Source organism: Homo sapiens, chromosome 10 (assembly GCF_000001405.40).
Source record: "Homo sapiens chromosome 10, GRCh38.p14 Primary Assembly".
Taxonomy (NCBI): Eukaryota; Metazoa; Chordata; class Mammalia; order Primates; family Hominidae; genus Homo; species Homo sapiens.
Genome location: NC_000010.11, coordinates 65258250 through 65275715, shown reverse-complemented (window position 1 = coordinate 65275715; position 17466 = coordinate 65258250). Strand labels below are relative to the sequence as shown.

At 37.0% G+C, this 17466-nt stretch overlaps 3 annotated features.

The window, feature by feature from the left end:
- Positions 1895-2756: an enhancer, noted in NCBI's record as "OCT4-NANOG hESC enhancer chr10:67032718-67033579 (GRCh37/hg19 assembly coordinates)". NCBI's record gives its function as "activates a minimal SCP1, AML or CMV promoter by ChIP-STARR-seq in naive H9 embryonic stem cells {active_cell/tissue: H9 hESC(naive)}" and the evidence as "EXISTENCE:reporter gene assay evidence [ECO:0000049][PMID:30033119]".
- Positions 4558-4758: a silencer, noted in NCBI's record as "peak982 fragment used in MPRA reporter construct". NCBI's record gives its function as "represses an SCP1 promoter by STARR-seq MPRAs in K562 erythroleukemia cells {active_cell/tissue: K562}" and the evidence as "EXISTENCE:reporter gene assay evidence [ECO:0000049][PMID:32103011]".
- Positions 8798-8998: a silencer, noted in NCBI's record as "peak981 fragment used in MPRA reporter construct". NCBI's record gives its function as "represses an SCP1 promoter by STARR-seq MPRAs in K562 erythroleukemia cells {active_cell/tissue: K562}" and the evidence as "EXISTENCE:reporter gene assay evidence [ECO:0000049][PMID:32103011]".

The following is a 17466-nucleotide window of genomic DNA, read 5'->3' as shown; positions in this document are numbered from 1 at the left end:
CAAAAATAATTTATCACAAATATTTAAAACACTGCCCCCATATAAGGTAAATAAAGTAGAAGTTGAATTTGCTTGGTTTCATAATATGAACATAAAATAAATTTTAACATTTCCCATTAACCCTGACAGTTAGCAACCTAACAGCTTCCTGCGTCTTACAGCTCCCAGCAAAGGCCATGGTACAATTGGTTAGTACAGCAGATGGCTGGCAGAGGCAGCAGTATCAAAGAATTATTACTAGTTACTCATATTTGAGCATACTTCAGTGATGACGCTGTATTGACAGAGAAGTGTTGTCACCTTGGAACTGTATTTACATAGTTTAGAAATTTAAAGTGAAGATCAGCCAAACCTATCGACTTATTTAAATAATGCTGCTATTAATAATGATTAAAATGAAAAACGATTAATATTATCTGTTTAAACTATTTTAATAATAACATATTTCTGAATAAAATCCTATAGGATGGATGTTGAACTGGCTAGGATATTGGGGCAGGACTGTTTGTAAATAGGCTTTTATAGTCATCTTGTATTTAGAAGAATCCAATCTAAGATATTGCAAAGATAATTTTATAAACAACATAGAGAAGTTGCACCTATCTCAACTGCAGATAAACTTTAGGAACTGGAACTGAGAACTAGAAGGATTTAGAGGGGGTATGGGAATAGGGGACCTAAACTGTTGCATATTTTCTGTTTCAGCCTCACATTGTACTTCTGCATTATTTTTTATTTTAGAAGATAAGTTTTATCTGTTTTCATACCACACTATAGAAATTGGCCACTCCACTGTGCAAGGGATTGTACAAAGTTTCACTCATGTACAGAGACTCACTGGTTGTCTTTTAGTCCATATTTCATACTCCTGGGAAAGAACAGCTGATAATCCCAGCTTGGTTTGTGTGCTTGTCCCTGTCTAACTATCAACGCCCACACCGGGGGCTGGAATCACACTTTGCATGTGTGACCAATTCTTTAAGATCAGGGTGCAATTTTCAGAGAAGAAGGGATAGTTTGTGAACTGAATCCACACTAAAAATGGTGTTTCCATACATACACTCACATTTAGGAAATTTTGAAGAACATCATATTAATTGTATTATAGTATACAATTATAATTCATATTGTACATATATATCAATATGTGTACAGTACATATTGTTAATGCATATATTATACAATTACATTACACAATTAATTATATTCAAACTATGAATTTATAACAAAGAAATACTTTAACAGAATTTTTTAATTTGCTTGTTATTTCTTGTTTAGCTGCCTGATAGAGACCTCCATCCATTATTAAAAATTGTGAGTTTTTCTTTCTTTTACATCAGTCATTAATGAGTTATAGTTTGGATTTTACAGTTAAAGTTAAGAAAATAAATCTTACTGTTTCTTTATGATTAATCATACAACTGCAGGATTAAAAAAAAGTAGTGGTGTCTAGTAAATGGCCAGTAATAAATGTAATGGAAATAAATCTAGTTGTTATGCCATAATAACTGTTAGGCAAAGTATGTAATCTTTCTATTCATGCTACTATTCTGTTATTTATTCAAAAGATAGCTGTATTAGTCAGGGTTCCTTAGAGGTACAGAATGGTATATATATCTATATATAGTGATTGCCTCACATTCCTGGTGTGTGGCGGTTGGTGGAAGTAGTCCTCTCCTACTCTGCTCATGTTTGATCGGCTATGTACTGTAACATCAGATTTTATGAAAGGGTGGGAACCCAACTTTCATGGATATTTTGCTCCAAATATATACATAGGAGTTTATTAAGTATTAACTTACATGATCACAAGATCCCACAATAGGCTGTCTGCAAGCTTGAGGAGTAAGGAGAGCCAGTCTGAGTCTCAAAACTGAAGAACTTGGAGTCTGATGTTTGAGGGCAGGAAGCATCCAGCATGGGAGAAAGATGTAGGCTGGGAGGCTAAGCCAGTCTTGCCTTATCACATTTTTCTGCCTGCTTTATATTCACTGGCAGCTGATTAGATTGTGCCCACCAGATTAAGAGTGGGTCTGCCTTTCCCAGCCCACTGACTCAAATGTTAATCTCCTTTGGCAACACCCTCACCAGGATCAATACTTTGCATCCTTCAATCCAATCAAGTTGACACTCAGTATTAACCATCACAATAGCCAAGACAAAGACTGAAAAAGAAGTACTGACTTTTTCTGCTTAATTTTTCACTTTCTCTAATCACCTCTTTTCAGTTTCTTTTATTTTCTTTCCATAAAATTTTAATGGAAATTAGCTAGTCTTTGAGAGGACATTTGTTCACCAACAGTTTGTGTCAAGAATTTTACCTATCTTCAGATCAAATGAGCCAGAGCAAAAACTGTCTTTCCTGAATGTATTCTTCCTTTATCAGTTGTGGTAAAGATGTGATTAATGATTACTGTTTCCTGCTGTTTCTCTTTTAGTTTGGTAATTAGCTCCCTGAGCTGTTCTCATTGTAAATGAAGGGGTCCTAGGGAGCCATTTGAAGAATCTGAATGAATGAATTATCCATCATGCAGTCTTTTTGAAAAAGCTAATTTGTAGAGGAAGGTGCACTGGGTGGTAAGTAAGGTTCAGTAGGACAACTTGTCAAAACATAGTTTGGTTTTGTTTGCTTCCAAAATTTTCAAAAACAAATATCAAGGCCTATTATTTGGTGCCTTGTAAACCTAACCTGGGTAAGAGCTCATCTTATTCTGACAAAAGTTTTATAGTCATAATCTATGTATCAATTAACATTATGTTTCATTTGGTCACACAATATCTGGGAGAATTTATTTGGCTATTTGACATTTGGAAATAATATTAAAACATGTTTTGTTTTAAGTACTTTCTATGGTCAGCTTCTACAAAAAGAGTTTATCAGCATTGTTTCACTTAATCATAATAAATATTATGCCAGATTTACAGATGAGAAAGCTAGGCTTAGAGAAATTAAAACTTGTACAAGGATACAAAGGTAATACAGAAAATTATCTCACTCATTGTTGGCTCTCTTGACTACACAATACCATCTCCAAAGTCCACATTCTCTGTTTTTTAACAACTGACTTCTCTATTGTGCACCTTAAATACCATAGAACTATTTAAGAATAGATCAAAAAATCCTGGTGACTAAAACATATATGGTGGTAAACCTTTGAATATGTTCTTAATTATAGTAGATGCTAGGCATGTAAAATATTGTGTGTATGTTGAAAAAATCTTATAATATTCTAAATGTGTTAGAAATGATAACTGAAAATTTGCAAATCTGCTTCAAAAGATAGATGGTTTTGAGAAACTAATAATTCCCTTAGTGCATTTTTTGTGTGTTTGCTTGTTCTGTTTCTAACTGTTTATGGTATGGCCTTTTACTTCTGGATTTTCTGCATATAATACAGGGTTTTTTCAATGGAATTAACAATGGAAGATAATGGATGTCAAAGCAAAATTGGCACATGAAAAATATAAACAAGCAAGGAAAACTTTAAGACTTCTGAAACAGAAGAGAAAGGCTAAAACTAAGCCTGCACTTAAATTCAATAAAGCACGTAAGTCTGAACTGAACTCTACTGAAGCAGGTATTGTTAGGAATTTAAGGGCTGGGGTGAGCTAGCAGAAATGTACTGGAGGACATTAAGCCACCTGGATTTGCTAATTTATCTTTATGGCAGGTAGTAATTTTGCAACTTGGAGAAAAATATCCATGAAAGTTGGGTTTCTACCCTTTCATAAAATCTGGCATTACAATAGGTAGCTGGTCAAACATGAGCAGAGCAGGAGAGGACTCCTTCCACCAACCCCCACACACCAGGAATGTGAGGCGACCATCAGGTGATGGTCAGGCAGTTGTTAACTGTTTCTCTAAAATAATCAGCACCAGGGAAAGGCAGTCTCCCAATAAACAGGAAGACCTGAAGCTGGTCACTAGCCGCTTCCCAATAGTATATCAAGAGTTGGGTGAGTGGGCTCACATATGCACACTAAGAGGCAAAATGGCAGTTTAACTAGTGTATGAACTCCTAGGGATACTCTGCTGGTTAGTGAAGAATGCCTCAGGTGAGCATGCATATAACTCCAGTAAAGATACTCTGCATGCTCACCTCCCAAGTGCTAACAGGCCTCTGCACATGCAGACAGCCCACCCCAAGGGAAAAATGGGGGGAGAAAGAATGCAAGACCCCGGAAGTATGCCAACATATAAAACCTTAAGTCAAAAGGTCAGTCCGCACACTTGTCTGTCAAGTTGCCTACTTGGCCCTCTTTCAAGTATATTTTCCCTTTTTTTTGTTGTTCCTGTCTTAAACCTTTTTAATAAACTTTCACTCCTGCTCTAAAACTTGCCTTAGGCTCACCTTCTGCCTTATGCCCCTCAGTCGAATTCTTTCTTCTGAGAAGGCAAGAATTGAGGTTGCTGTAGACCTATACCGATTTGCCGCCGGTAACATACGTTGGTGCTGCGTGACTTGGATAACTTCCAACACTGACACTGGGAGATACGGGTGCTATGTCTTTCTCTGAGATCCTGTGTAAGGAACATGGCTGTGCTTTGGTCAAGGATAGGCCAAGGTAGGATGTTTACATCCTGCGTGACTCAATGAGTTTAGAGCGCGGGTGTATAACTCCACTTGTTATCACAGCCATGAGGCCATAACTTGGGAAGGCCATCCCTTGGCTCTATGCCACTATTGTCTGTAAAAGGTACAATTGCCCTGTTGACACTGTTCAGGCATGCTGGTGCCCAGAGAAAGAGAGAGAGTCAGAGCTGTCCATCTTTGCAGGCGGACATGGGGGAGCCAGGACACAGCTCGGCCTGCTAGTGCCCACAGACAGGAAGAGTTAAACTGCTGACTCTGAAGGCAGGGAAGAGCCAGCCATGCAGCTGTATGTGGGAGCCGCCAGAATAAGCAGCCGAGACAGGGCGGACAGTGTGAGAAAGCCGTTGATTGGAGCTGCTGATGAATAAAATCATCTTTCACCTGCCTACGGCCCCCCGAGTGTTCTTTTTGCTCCTCCACCCACTCCCTTCAGACCTCAGCATGGGCTAATACTTGACCCCAAATGTGATAATTGGCACAGTTGTGAACCCGACACCTTGAGAAGAACATTTCAGGTTATGTAACTGGCAAGAGGCCTTTTTTTTTTAATGTTTTATGTATATCTCAAAGGAGCAGAGAAAAAAATTTACAATAACACGTTTTCTCAAATAAATGCTAGAAGAAAAGGAAGATCAGGGGCCCAGAGTTAAGAAAAATCCCATCTTTAGTCAAACTGAGGGTAGCATTAATGTCATCTTACTCAAGGGACTGAAGAAGGGTACACTAGGAACTTCAACTTTTTTTCCAGCTTTTAACTTAAAATGTAGCTAAAGAAAATATGGCAAATTTAAAATTTAATAAAGCTTTTGATGTTTACTATATTATTTATTTATGGTCATTATAGTATTAACTCTTCTGTATATCTGCAATATTACAAATGTTTTAATATTATAATTTCTCTTGTAAACCTAACCTGGGTAAGAGCTCATCTTATTCTGACAAAAGTTTTATAGTCATAATCTATGTATCAATTAACATTATGTTTCATTTGGTCACACAATATCTGGGAGAATTTATTTGGCTATTTGACATTTGGAAATAATATTAAAACACGTTTTGTTTTAAGTACTTTCTATGGTCAGCTTCTACAAAAAGAGTTTATCAGCATTGTTTCACTTAATCATAATAAATATTATGCCAGATTTACAGATGAGAAAGCTAGGCCTAGAGAAATTAAAACTTGTACAAGGATACAAAGGTAATACAGAAAATTATCTCACTCATTGTTGGCTCTCTTGACTACACAATACCATCTCCAAAGTCCACATTCTCTGTTTTTTAACAACTGACTTCTCTATTGTGCACCTTAAACATAACTCAGTCCATGACAAACCACACCAAAATGCATGCAATTAAATTATTAAGTCATGCTTCTTAATTCTGAATGCATTATCTGTCTGTAAGATAATAGGCTGATGTTTATCTTCCTGACTTTTAAAAAGAATTAGATTCTGCTTTGTGCTTAACCTACTGAAAAGGACTCTTGGAGCATTCTATAAGAAAAAATTGAGTACAGATTGAAAATGGCACTGGAATCTCACTGCTTTATTATAGTATGAAGGTAGGACCTTATGTTATTTGATGTACATGAAAATTGTAAATCTTGGCTAGGCCCGGTGGCTCACGCCTGTAATCCCAGCACTTTGGGAGGCCGAGGCAGGCAGATCACGAGGTCAGGAGATCCAGACCATCCTGGCTAACACGGGGAAACCCCTTGTCTACTAAGAAAATACAAGAACATTAGCCGGGAGTGGTGGCGGGCACCTGTAGTCCCAGCTACTTGGGAGGCTGAGGCAGGAGAATGGCGGGAACGTGGGAGGCAGAGCTTGCAGTGAGCCAAGATCGTGCCACTGCACTCCAGCCTGGGCAACAGAGCAAGACTGCATCTCAAAAAAAAAAAAAAAAAAAAAAAAAAAAAAATATATATATATATATATATATATATATATGTATATAATCAGATGCCCAGCCTTGGACCAAATATTTGTGTTTGTGTTTATAGTATCATATATTACAAATCATTTTATGTGATGATGGGAGACTGGGTAGATCTCAAAATATGGCTAAACAGCTGCCCTACATAGTCATACATTGCATAATAAAAAAGTTTATAATGCTGAACACTGTAATATTTTGATATTTTTGTTTTATTTAGTCTTATCAAAGAACATACAAATGCAATAGATGTTCTCAATAAATCTCATTTTTATTAATGAAATAAAATTATAGATTTTTTTATAACTCTACTAATTCTTTGCAAATAGTCTTATTTCTTAATACTTAAATTCTTTATTAAGATATTCTGAGGGTGAGGAAAACTAGAAATGAAGTCAATTCATTCACTTTTAGTGACAGAAAGAGCAAGATAATTTTTTCAACATAGAGTATGTTGGTTCTAACATAAATGTCTGGAAAATCAAGTGCCATTTTTGTGACTTTCTCCATCCACGATAACCATGTAGGGGGTCACTGGTTATAACAGCAAAGTCCTGAGAGTATGTCACTCATGTCAAAATTTTTCAGTGGCTTAGAAATGGTTTTTAGAATAAAGGCTAAATTCCTTTTATACAACCACTCTCTCATGTAGCCAAGTTACTATATATATCATCCTATCCATAAAAAGACGGATAGGCTTTTTACTTCTTTCATTTTAATTCCTTCATTTTTTCTACTGTCCTTATCAATATTTAATATAAAACTATCAGTGAAAGTGCAACTAATTATTTCCCATCATAAAAATTTGGGTCTCCATATGAGGTATATTAGCTATTTAAACTCAAGGGGTATCAAAAGGATAGTTAAATATTCTATTTAAGTGTCCTAGTTAAAGTTGCTACTGCTGAACACTACAGAAATAGTGAGGGAGAAACAAACAGTGAGGGAGAAAATAATCATTTAATTAGAGGAGCTAAGTTCACCAAAGTACGCCAACAGAGACAGAGACTTTTATTTGTAAAACTGAGCTATTTTTTGTAAAAATCATCTTATATTGAAGCGTATTTTATAGTTCCAATTTAGTGAGACGAGCCTGGCCAAAATGGTGAAACTCCGTCTCTACTAAAAATACAAAAACTAGCCAGGCATGGTGAAGCGAGACTGTAATCCCAGCTACTCTGGAGGCTAAGGCAGGAGAATCGCCTGAACCCACGAGGTGAAGGTTGCAGTGAACAGAGATTGCGCCGTCGCACTCCAGCCTGGATGACAGAGTGAGACTCAAAAATAAATACATACATACATAAATAAATGAATAAAGTTCCAATTTAGTGTACATTCCATGCCATGGTGACATAAATGACAATAGACTGCCCAAAGTGAATACATGATCCAGCCCATAGAGAGCTATCCTGGGGTTTCACTTAAATAGATATTTAATAAGAATGATGATTTAAAAATATTTTAAATTGTTATATTTCCCCAATATTATAAGCCAAATTTAAATCTGTTTTCTCTTTGGACTTATGCAAAATATTATTAAATACTAAGACAAAGATTGTCATTTCTATTAAAAACAGTAACAGTAAATATTTATTGAGAGCCTGATACTTTCAACACATCTCATTTAATTCTCAAAGCAATCCTACAGGACAGTGACTATCGTTTTACTATAATATTTAAAAGAGGTAGTTACTGAGACTTAGCAGTAAAAGTCAGAATAGGTATTCAGATTCAGAACCATTCAGATGTTCTTAATCACCACCGGAAGCTAACCTTCTGAATGAGGACAGTGAAAAATCCAAGAACTAATAAGCAGCCAAGCCTAGTGGAAAAAAAAAAAATTGCAAACTGCTAATCAAACAAATTTTTACCCTTACTTCACAAACCATATTTTACTTGTTTTTATGTAATAAATTATCCAACTCTTGCATAGCCTGCTACCATCTGCCTGTTCATTTCAGAGGGCACATAATATATTTTCTTCAGAAATAAATACCACGTTGCTGAGTGCTACATGTAACACAAACTGCTTATCATCTTCATCCAGTCATTAGTAACTATAAAATACTTCCATTGCTAAATATTAGTGCATCAAACAACTCTCAAGCAGGTCACAATACCTGATAATCTCCAAGAAGTTCTCAGTATTTTTACTCCTCTTTTCACTTAACTATATCAGCAAACAAGAGAGCAAATATTTTCTATTTAACAAATTTGAATTTTCTTTTTTGTTCACAGAAGAAAGACTTGGCTCTAAACTAGTTTTAAATATAATTGTTGATGCTATACCAGTAAAACAAAGGAATATCGGAAGCAGCTGTGAGTCTTACCTGAACAATGTCCACAGCATTAATGTGAAAAGGTTAAATCGTCTGATCATATGCTAATTGCTCTACCATCCTGCATGTCTTCCAGAAATGATCTAAATGTTAGAGTGTTTTGAATTTAAGATTTACAATTTTTTTTTTTTTTTTTTTTTTTTTTGAGACAGAGTCTTGCTCTCTCGCCCAGGCTGGAGTGCAGTGGCGCAATCTCGGCCCACTGCAAGCTCCGCCTCCCACATTCCCGCCATTCTCCTGCCTCAGCCTCCCACGTAACTGGGACTACAGGCGCCAGCCATCACGCCCGGCTAATGTTCTTGTATTTTCTTAGTAGAGACGGGGTTTCACCATGTTAGCCAGGATGGTCTGGATCTCCTGACCTCGTGATCCGCCCGCTCGGCCTCCCAAAGTGCTGGGATTACAGGCGTGAGCCACCACGCCCGTCCAGAAAAATATTTTTTAATAAAGAAAAGTATTTGTGTTAGCTGGGCGTGGTGGTGCGTGCCTGTAATCCCAGCTACTCCGGAGGCTGAGGCAGGAGAATTGCTTGAAGCTGTGAGGTGGAGGTTGCAGTGAGCCGAGATTGTGCCATTGCACTCCAGCCTGGGCAACAAGAGTGAAACTCCATCTCAAAAAAAAAAGAAAGGCATTTGTAATTGATTTATGACTATTTGTTAGTTTTTCTTACAATTTGTAACAATCGATTAAAGTGTTTTACCAATTAATAGCATTTTGATTCCCTCCAAATTCTAGTTAATATGTTTTTCACTATTCATACTGTAAAGTTCACATTGTGTTATATAATACTATGGGTTTTGATAATATATTCTTGTATCAACTTCAAGAATGTTGATATAAAATAGCTCAATCACTCTAAAAATTTCCCTTTATAGTTGACACAGCCCTCTACTCACTATCATGGAAAATACTGTTTTTTATCCCTGTAAGTTTTCCCTCTTTTTCATCGTGCCATATGAATGGCCTCATACAATGTGTAACTTTTGAGGTCTGGCTCCTTTCACTTACCAAAATACAGTGTTGTTCCATGAATTAACGATTTATTAAGGTTTATTATTGCATAATATTCCTTATGGACTTATTACTGTTCATTTAATAAAGGAATATTATGCAATAATATTCAAACTGTAGTAGTGATTCACTACAGTTTATTTGTTTTATAGTTAAAGGACATATGGGTTGTTCCCAGTTTTTGGCACTTACATGTAAAACTGCCATAAATGTTTACATAAAGATTTTGTGTGAACATACATCTTCACTTTTCTTTCAAAAAGTGTAAGTATGAGCTTGCTGGGTCACAGAGTATTTACTTTATATTTATATTTAACTTTATAAGGAAATGCCAACATAGTTTCCAAAGAGTCCCTACCATTTTCTTTCCCACCAGAAATGTATAGCAGTCCTAGTACTCAGCACTGCACACTTGGTGTTGTCAGGTTGGGTATACAACAGTATTTCATGGTTGTTTTTATTTGCAATTCTCTAATGACCACTGATGCTTAGTTTATTTTCACATGCTTATTTTCTATCTGTATATTTTGTTCAGTGAGGTGTCTGTTAAGATATTTTGCTCAATTTTTATTAGGGCCTTTAATTTCTTATTGTGTACTGAGTTCTGACATTTCTTTATATGTTCTAAACTCCTTGTCAAAAGTAGGATTTGTAATTTATTTTTCTCAGTTTATGATCTGTCTTTTCATTCTCTTAAAAGTACCTGTTACATAGAAAAAGCTTTTAATTTTTAGAAAATAAAATTTATCATTTTTAAGGGATATCTGAAAACTTTTTGGTGAACACAATAACACAGGTATTTTCTTTTATATTTACTTCTAGAAATTGTATAGTTTTACATTTTTCACTTAGGTCTAGGATGCATTTTGAGTTAATTTTTCTATTAATTGTAAGATTTTAATGAATTTCATTCTATTGATCTATTTACATTCAACTGTTCCAGTACAATTTATTGAAGTGGCTATTTGTTCTTTATTAAATTGACTTAGATCTTTCTCAAAAATCAGTTGACTATGTTTGTGGGGGTCTATTTCTACACTGTTTTGTTCCATTGTACGATGTGTGCCTATCCTTTCACCAATATAGTACTATCTTTATTACTATAGCTTTAGAGTTTTTCTGTTTTCCTCTATTATACAGATTTGTGTTTCATCATTTCATCCTTTATGTTTGTTTTTCATTTAATTTGCCTGTAAATTTTAGTTTCTTAATGTGCAACATCCAATTAAAAAAAATAGTAGAAAACAGCTTATATTCATAGTGGAAATAAATACTATAAATTGTATATTTCAAAAAGGAAATACTAGGTTAAAAAATGACAAGGTCTAGAGTTTTCATGGAGATATCAGAATGGTTTTATTGTTGTATATATACGAAATGGAACTTCATAGAGAGCAAAACGTATTAAATTGTGTATATTATATCAATAGGATAAATTTGTAAAAGTTGTGTTGAGTAACACAAATCCAAATACTGGGGAAAGTGGAAAAACTGGCCAACAGGGAAACTGATGATTAGAAAGGTTGAAGGACTCCCAGTCCCAAAAGAGGCCTGTTGGTACAATGTAGAAGCTGCGACAGCAGTGTTTGAGTTAAAGATCCATGAGTGAACAGCCTCTTTATGGCTCTGGTTAGTAGCCATCAGAGGAAGATAACAGTTCATAGTGAAAAATTGTGAGGGACTTTTTTTTTTAATGAATGAAAACAAGAGTGAGTAATAAAACTCATTTAAATAATCATATAAAAGTCACTGTTGAGACTAATTCTTTTCAAAATGTTGGCATGTCTATTTTTCTTGTTATTTTAGTTTCACAGATATCCTGTGACACATTTCAAGTTGGTCACATGATATTGTTTGGCTGTGTCCCCACACAAATCTCAACTTCAATTGTAACTCCCACAATTCCCACATCATGGGAGGAACCTGGTAGGCGGTAATTGAATTATGGGGGTGGGTCTTTCCTGCACAGTTATCATAATAGTGAATGAGTCTCACAATATCCGATGGTTTTACAAGTGGGAGTTTCCCTGCACAAGCTCTCTTTGCCTGCCACCATCCATGTAAGATATGACTTGCTCCTTCTTGCCTACCACTATGATTGTGAGGCCTGCCCAGCCATGTTGAATTGTAAGTCCGTTAAACCTCTTTTTCTACCCAGCCTTGAGTATGTCTTTATCGGCAGCATGAAAACGTACTAATACAGTAAATTGGTACCAGTAGAGTGGGGCATTGCTGAAAAGATACCCGAAAATGTGGAAGTGATATTTTGGAACTGGGTAACAGGAAGAGGCTAGAACAGTTTGGAGGCCTCAGAAGAAGACAGGAAAATGTGGAAAAGTTTGGAACCTCCTAGAGACTTGTTGAATGGCTTTGACAAAAAATGCTGATAGTGATACGAACAGTAAGGTCCAGGTTGAGGTGGTCTCAGATGGAGATAAGGAACTTGTTGGGAATGGGAGAAAAGGTGACTCTTGTTATATTTTAGCAAACAGACTGGTGGCATTTTGCCCCTGCCCTGGAGATTTGTGGAACTTTGAACTTAAGAAAGATGATTTAGGGTATCTGGTGGAAGAAATTTCTAAGCAGAAAGGCATTCAAAATGTGACTTGGGTGCTGTTAAAAGCATTCCATTTAAAAAGGGAAACAGAGCATAGATGTTCAGAAAATTTCCAGCCTGATGATCCAGTAGAAAAAAAAATGCATTTTTTGAGGAGAAATTCAAGCCAGCTGCAGAAGTTTGCTTAACTAAGTAGCAAAGAGATGTTAATCCCCAAGACTATGAGGAAAATATCTCCAGACCATGTCAGAGACCTTCACGGCAACCCCTCCTATCACAAGCCCAGAGGCCCAGGAGGAAAAAGTGGTTCCATGGGCTGGGCCCAGGGTCCCTGTGCTGTGTGCAGCCTAGGGACTTGGTGCCCAGTGTCCCAGTTGCTCCAGGCATGGCCGAAAGGGGCCAACATAGAGTTCGGGCTGTGGCTTCAGAGGGTGGAAGCCCCAAGCCTTGGCAGCTTCCATGTGTGTTGAGCCTGTGGGGGTACAGAAGTCAAGAATTGAGGTTTGGGAACCTCTGCCTAGATTTCAGAAGATGTATGGAAATACCTGGATGACCAGGCAAAAGTTTGCTGCAGGGGTGGAGACTTCATGGAAAACCTGTGCTAGGGCAGTGTGGGAGGGAAATGTGGGGTTGGAGCCCCCACACAGAGTCCCTTCTATGGCATTGCCTGGTGGAGCTGTGAGAAAAGGGCCACCATCCTCCAGACCCCAGAATGGTAATCCACCAACAGCTTGTACCAAGCACCTGGAAAAGCTGTAGACACTCAATGCAGCCCATGAAAGCAGCCAGAACGGGGGCTATACCCTGCAAAGCCACAGGGGCAGAGCTGCCCAAGACCATTAGAACCCACCTTTTGAATCAGCATGACCTGGATGTGAGACCTGGAGTCAAAATAGATAATTTTGCAGCTGTAAAATTTGACTGCCCCACTGGATTTCAGACTTGCATGGGCCCCGTAATCCCTTTGTTTTGACCAAATTTTCCCATTTGGAATGACTATATTTACCCAATACCTGTACCCCCATTGTATTTAGGAAGTAACTAACTTACTTTTGATTTTACAGGCTCATAGGCAGACAGGACTTGCCTCATCTCAGATGAAACTTTGGACTGTGGACTTTTGGGTTAATGCTGAAATGAATTAAGACTTTTGGGGACTGTTGGGAAGGCATGAATTGGTTTTGAAATGTGAGGACATGAGATTTGCAGGGGCCAGGGGTGGAATGATGTGGTTTGGCATGTCCCCACCCAATTCTCAACTTGAATTTTATCTCCCAGAATTCCCACATGTTGTGGGAGGTACCCACAGTGAGGTAATTGAATCATGGGGGCTGTTGTTTCCAGTGCTATTCTCTTGATAGTCAATAAGTCTCATGAGATCTGATGAGTTTAGCAGGGGTTTCAGCTTTTGCTTCCTTCTCTTTTTTCTCTTGCTGCCACCATGTAACAAGTGTCTTTTGCCTCCCACCATGATTCTGAGGCCTCCTCAGCCATGTGGATCAGTAAGTTCAATTAAACCTCTTTTTCTTCCCAGTCTTGGGTATTTCTTTATCAGCAGCGTGAAAACAGACTAATACATGGTGTTACATAATTTTTTGCATCTCACTTGATTTGTTTGTTCCCTATTTTAGATATATACAGATCTATGACTAAAATCAATGTCTAATTAACTTACAATGTAGTGAATATATTTTACCTTACCATTAAATTCTAGATTTCTCAACCTAAATCGGTCAGAATTTGACAAATGTATATATCAACATTTCCCTTTTAAACATGCAGCCTAGTGCATTTGGATTTTAATTATGGATGTGTTGTTTTAAAAATTAAAATTTTATCCCAGAAATTTTGAAAAAGCTCTTATTGAATGAGCTATTTGACATTACTCCTATAGGATTAAAATTTAACTGTTAACAGTCACATTTTCTCAAACTGTGATAATTTAGTTCCTTAATTTCCACCGTATGTTGGTTGTTACTGTTACCTATTTCTTCTCCTTCTTTTTGTAGATGCTGAATGGCAAACTGTAAACACAGATGTCCAGCTAGTGACATGTGTTGGCATTCAGGATTCTCATTTTGAGATAATACTTAAGTCTTAGTTTTTGTTACTATAAGTGTTTAGATATAATAACCTCACTATTCCTGGGTGCACTAATTCCTCATTATGCTTCCCTGTCTTTCACACTCTTTTCTTCAATAACTGAGGTCACTGTTTTTATAACAATGATACATGTATTTTTTTCATTATGCAAAACAGAGAAAGTACAAAAACACAACAAAATATGACTCCAAATCTTAACTACATGTAATAGTATTTTTCTAGAATTATCTGTATGTGTTTAAACAGACAGATTGATAGAGGAATAGATGAATAAATAAGTAAAATTAAGAGCTCCCCCCATCATACCCCCAGGAGAGGCCATCCAGTCCTGTGACTTTAAATTTCATTTATTTCTTATCGACGCCAAAATGTATAACTTTTAGTAAAAATGCAAAGACAAAAACAAAACAAAACCCACATTTTTCCAGATTTTGATCACTTCCATCACCAGTGCCACCAATAATCATAAATTCCCAGGAGCGTCCCTTCTGGGTCATTTAACAAGTTCTCTGGTTTCCCTGCTTCATCTCTCTTTCTCTCATGGCAGTTCTACATGGTGATGAGAATTATCCATTAATTATCAAAATCAGATGCTCTTATCCCCTCATTTTGAAACCCCACAATCACTTCCTATTACTTTTGCAATAAAATATAACTTATTAGCATGGCCTGTAAGGCCCTGCCTGATCTGCCCTTGAACTCTTTTACTGCAAGTTACATTATATGACTATGGATAATTTTGTCGTGTGCATCCACTGTAGAATGTAAACTGTATGTGGGCAGAAAATGTTCTCCAATTCACAGCTTTACCTGTAACAACAAGGTGGCCCTAGGTGAATATACAATAAGAATTTATTGAATGTATAAATTTAAAAATAGATTGACAAAATGAGACTCTACTGTATAAGTTAGTTTTAGAAATAAAATTATGAAGTAGAATGTTAACGTAACTGGAATGCTTGTACATTAAAAGAGTTGCTAAATTAAAGGTATAATCTTTTGTCAAATAATATAGATGAATGGGGTTGGGAGGTTGGGAAAGGTGGCAACTTCTTTCTTGAAGGAGCCAAGAGCAGCTAAGGAAGAGTGGGGAGCCATGCAGTCATGTCTTTCTCTCTCTGGAGTTCCCTGGTGGGAATGATGATTAGTTACCTCAGTGGCAAGATATGCCCATGTTCTCTCTGGAATAGGCTGCTGAGAACACAGCGGTTCTCACTAAAAGACTGACACTAATAGTGTACAACTTTCTTCTTTGTTCATAGCTGTCTTCTGGCATCTGAGCAATGCTGATCTCACTAGCAATCCTTTCTGGATAATCAGTCTCCATTTTTTTACTCCGCAGTGTTTCTGCAGATTCCTTAATGTGCCTTTGAGCCCTCTCAGGGCTATTTTGGTTTGTGGATAGCTATCTGTATTTGTTTTTGGATGGGATGAAAGGTATTACCTCGTACTCCACCATCTTGGTGACATCTGTCAGAACTTTTTATATCACTCAACTATCTTGTGACTTGTGTTTCTATGAAGAAATTTGAATACTAACTTTTTTTTCCAGGATAATTTATTTTGATTATTTTTATATTTATATTGTTAATATTGTTAATATTTTATTCTTCCTGTCTTCTGGGAACACAGGTGGCTGTAAGTCCCAGCTGAATTTGCAGAAAGGAAGACCAAATGAATACTTCCAGGTTATGGAGTATGAGATGTGGTGATAAACGATACTTCTAGGACAAATCATAAGAGTGGGATTTCCATATGCTTTCTTAGCTACCATGGCAACAAGGCCCTGTTCCAACTGATGAAGCTAATGGACAGCAAATCAGAGCCCACTGTCAACCTGTAGTCTGAACCACATGAAATTGCTATTTGACCATTTTTGAACTAGAAAATGGCAATCTCATATATTTTAACTCAATGTTAGAAACACGTAGTGTAGGCTACAAACACACCTTTGTTAAATTAAGATACTAAAATTAGGAGTCAGTTTATTATAGCAGCTATGATAAATCTTGTTTTTCTTTTTTTTTGAGATAAAGTATGCCCTTTGAATTATCAGAATTAAGTCTCTGTTTCAGGGAAGTAATCTATTTTATCTTTGAATATGCTTTCTTTTCCATTTCAACTGTACTCTTTAAGAACTATGTATTTTTATTAATAGAGAATATTGTGTACATTTATTGGGTACATACATGTGAGTATGTGTTATATGCACAGAGTGTTAATGATCAAGTCAGGCTGTTTGGAATATTCCTTACTTCGAGTCTGTATTCTTTCTTTCTTTCTTTTTATTTTTGGAGATGGAGCCTTGCTCTGCCACCCAGGCTGGAGTGCAGTGGTGCGATCTTAGCTCACTGCAACCTCCGCCTCCCGGGTTCAAGCAATTCTCCTGCCTCAGCCTCCCGAGTAGCTGGGACTACAGGCGCACACTGCCACGTCTGGCTAATTTGTGTGTGTGTGTGTGTGTGTGTGTGTTTTAGTAGAGACAGGGTTTCGCCGTGTTGCCCAGGCTGGTCTAGAACTCCTGAGCTCAGGCAATCCGCCTGCCTCAGCCTCCCAAAGCGCTAGGATTAAAGGCGTGAGCCACTGGGCCCTGCCAAGTATGTATTATCTCTATGTGTTGGGAAAATTTCATGTCCTCTCTTCTAGCTACTTTGAAATAGTCAACACATTGTTGCTAATTAAAGTCACTGCTATTGAACATGAGAACTTATTTCTTCTATTTAACCATATGTTTGTATCCAGTAACCAGCCTTTCTTTATTGCCTCTTCCCACCCTCACACACTTCTCAGCCTTTGGTATCTATGATTGTGTTTTCTACCTTCTTGACGTAACTTTTTTAGCTCCCCCATATGAGTGAGAACATGCAATATTTGACTTTCTGTGCCTGGCTTATTTCACTTAACAGAATTACCTCCATTTCCATCC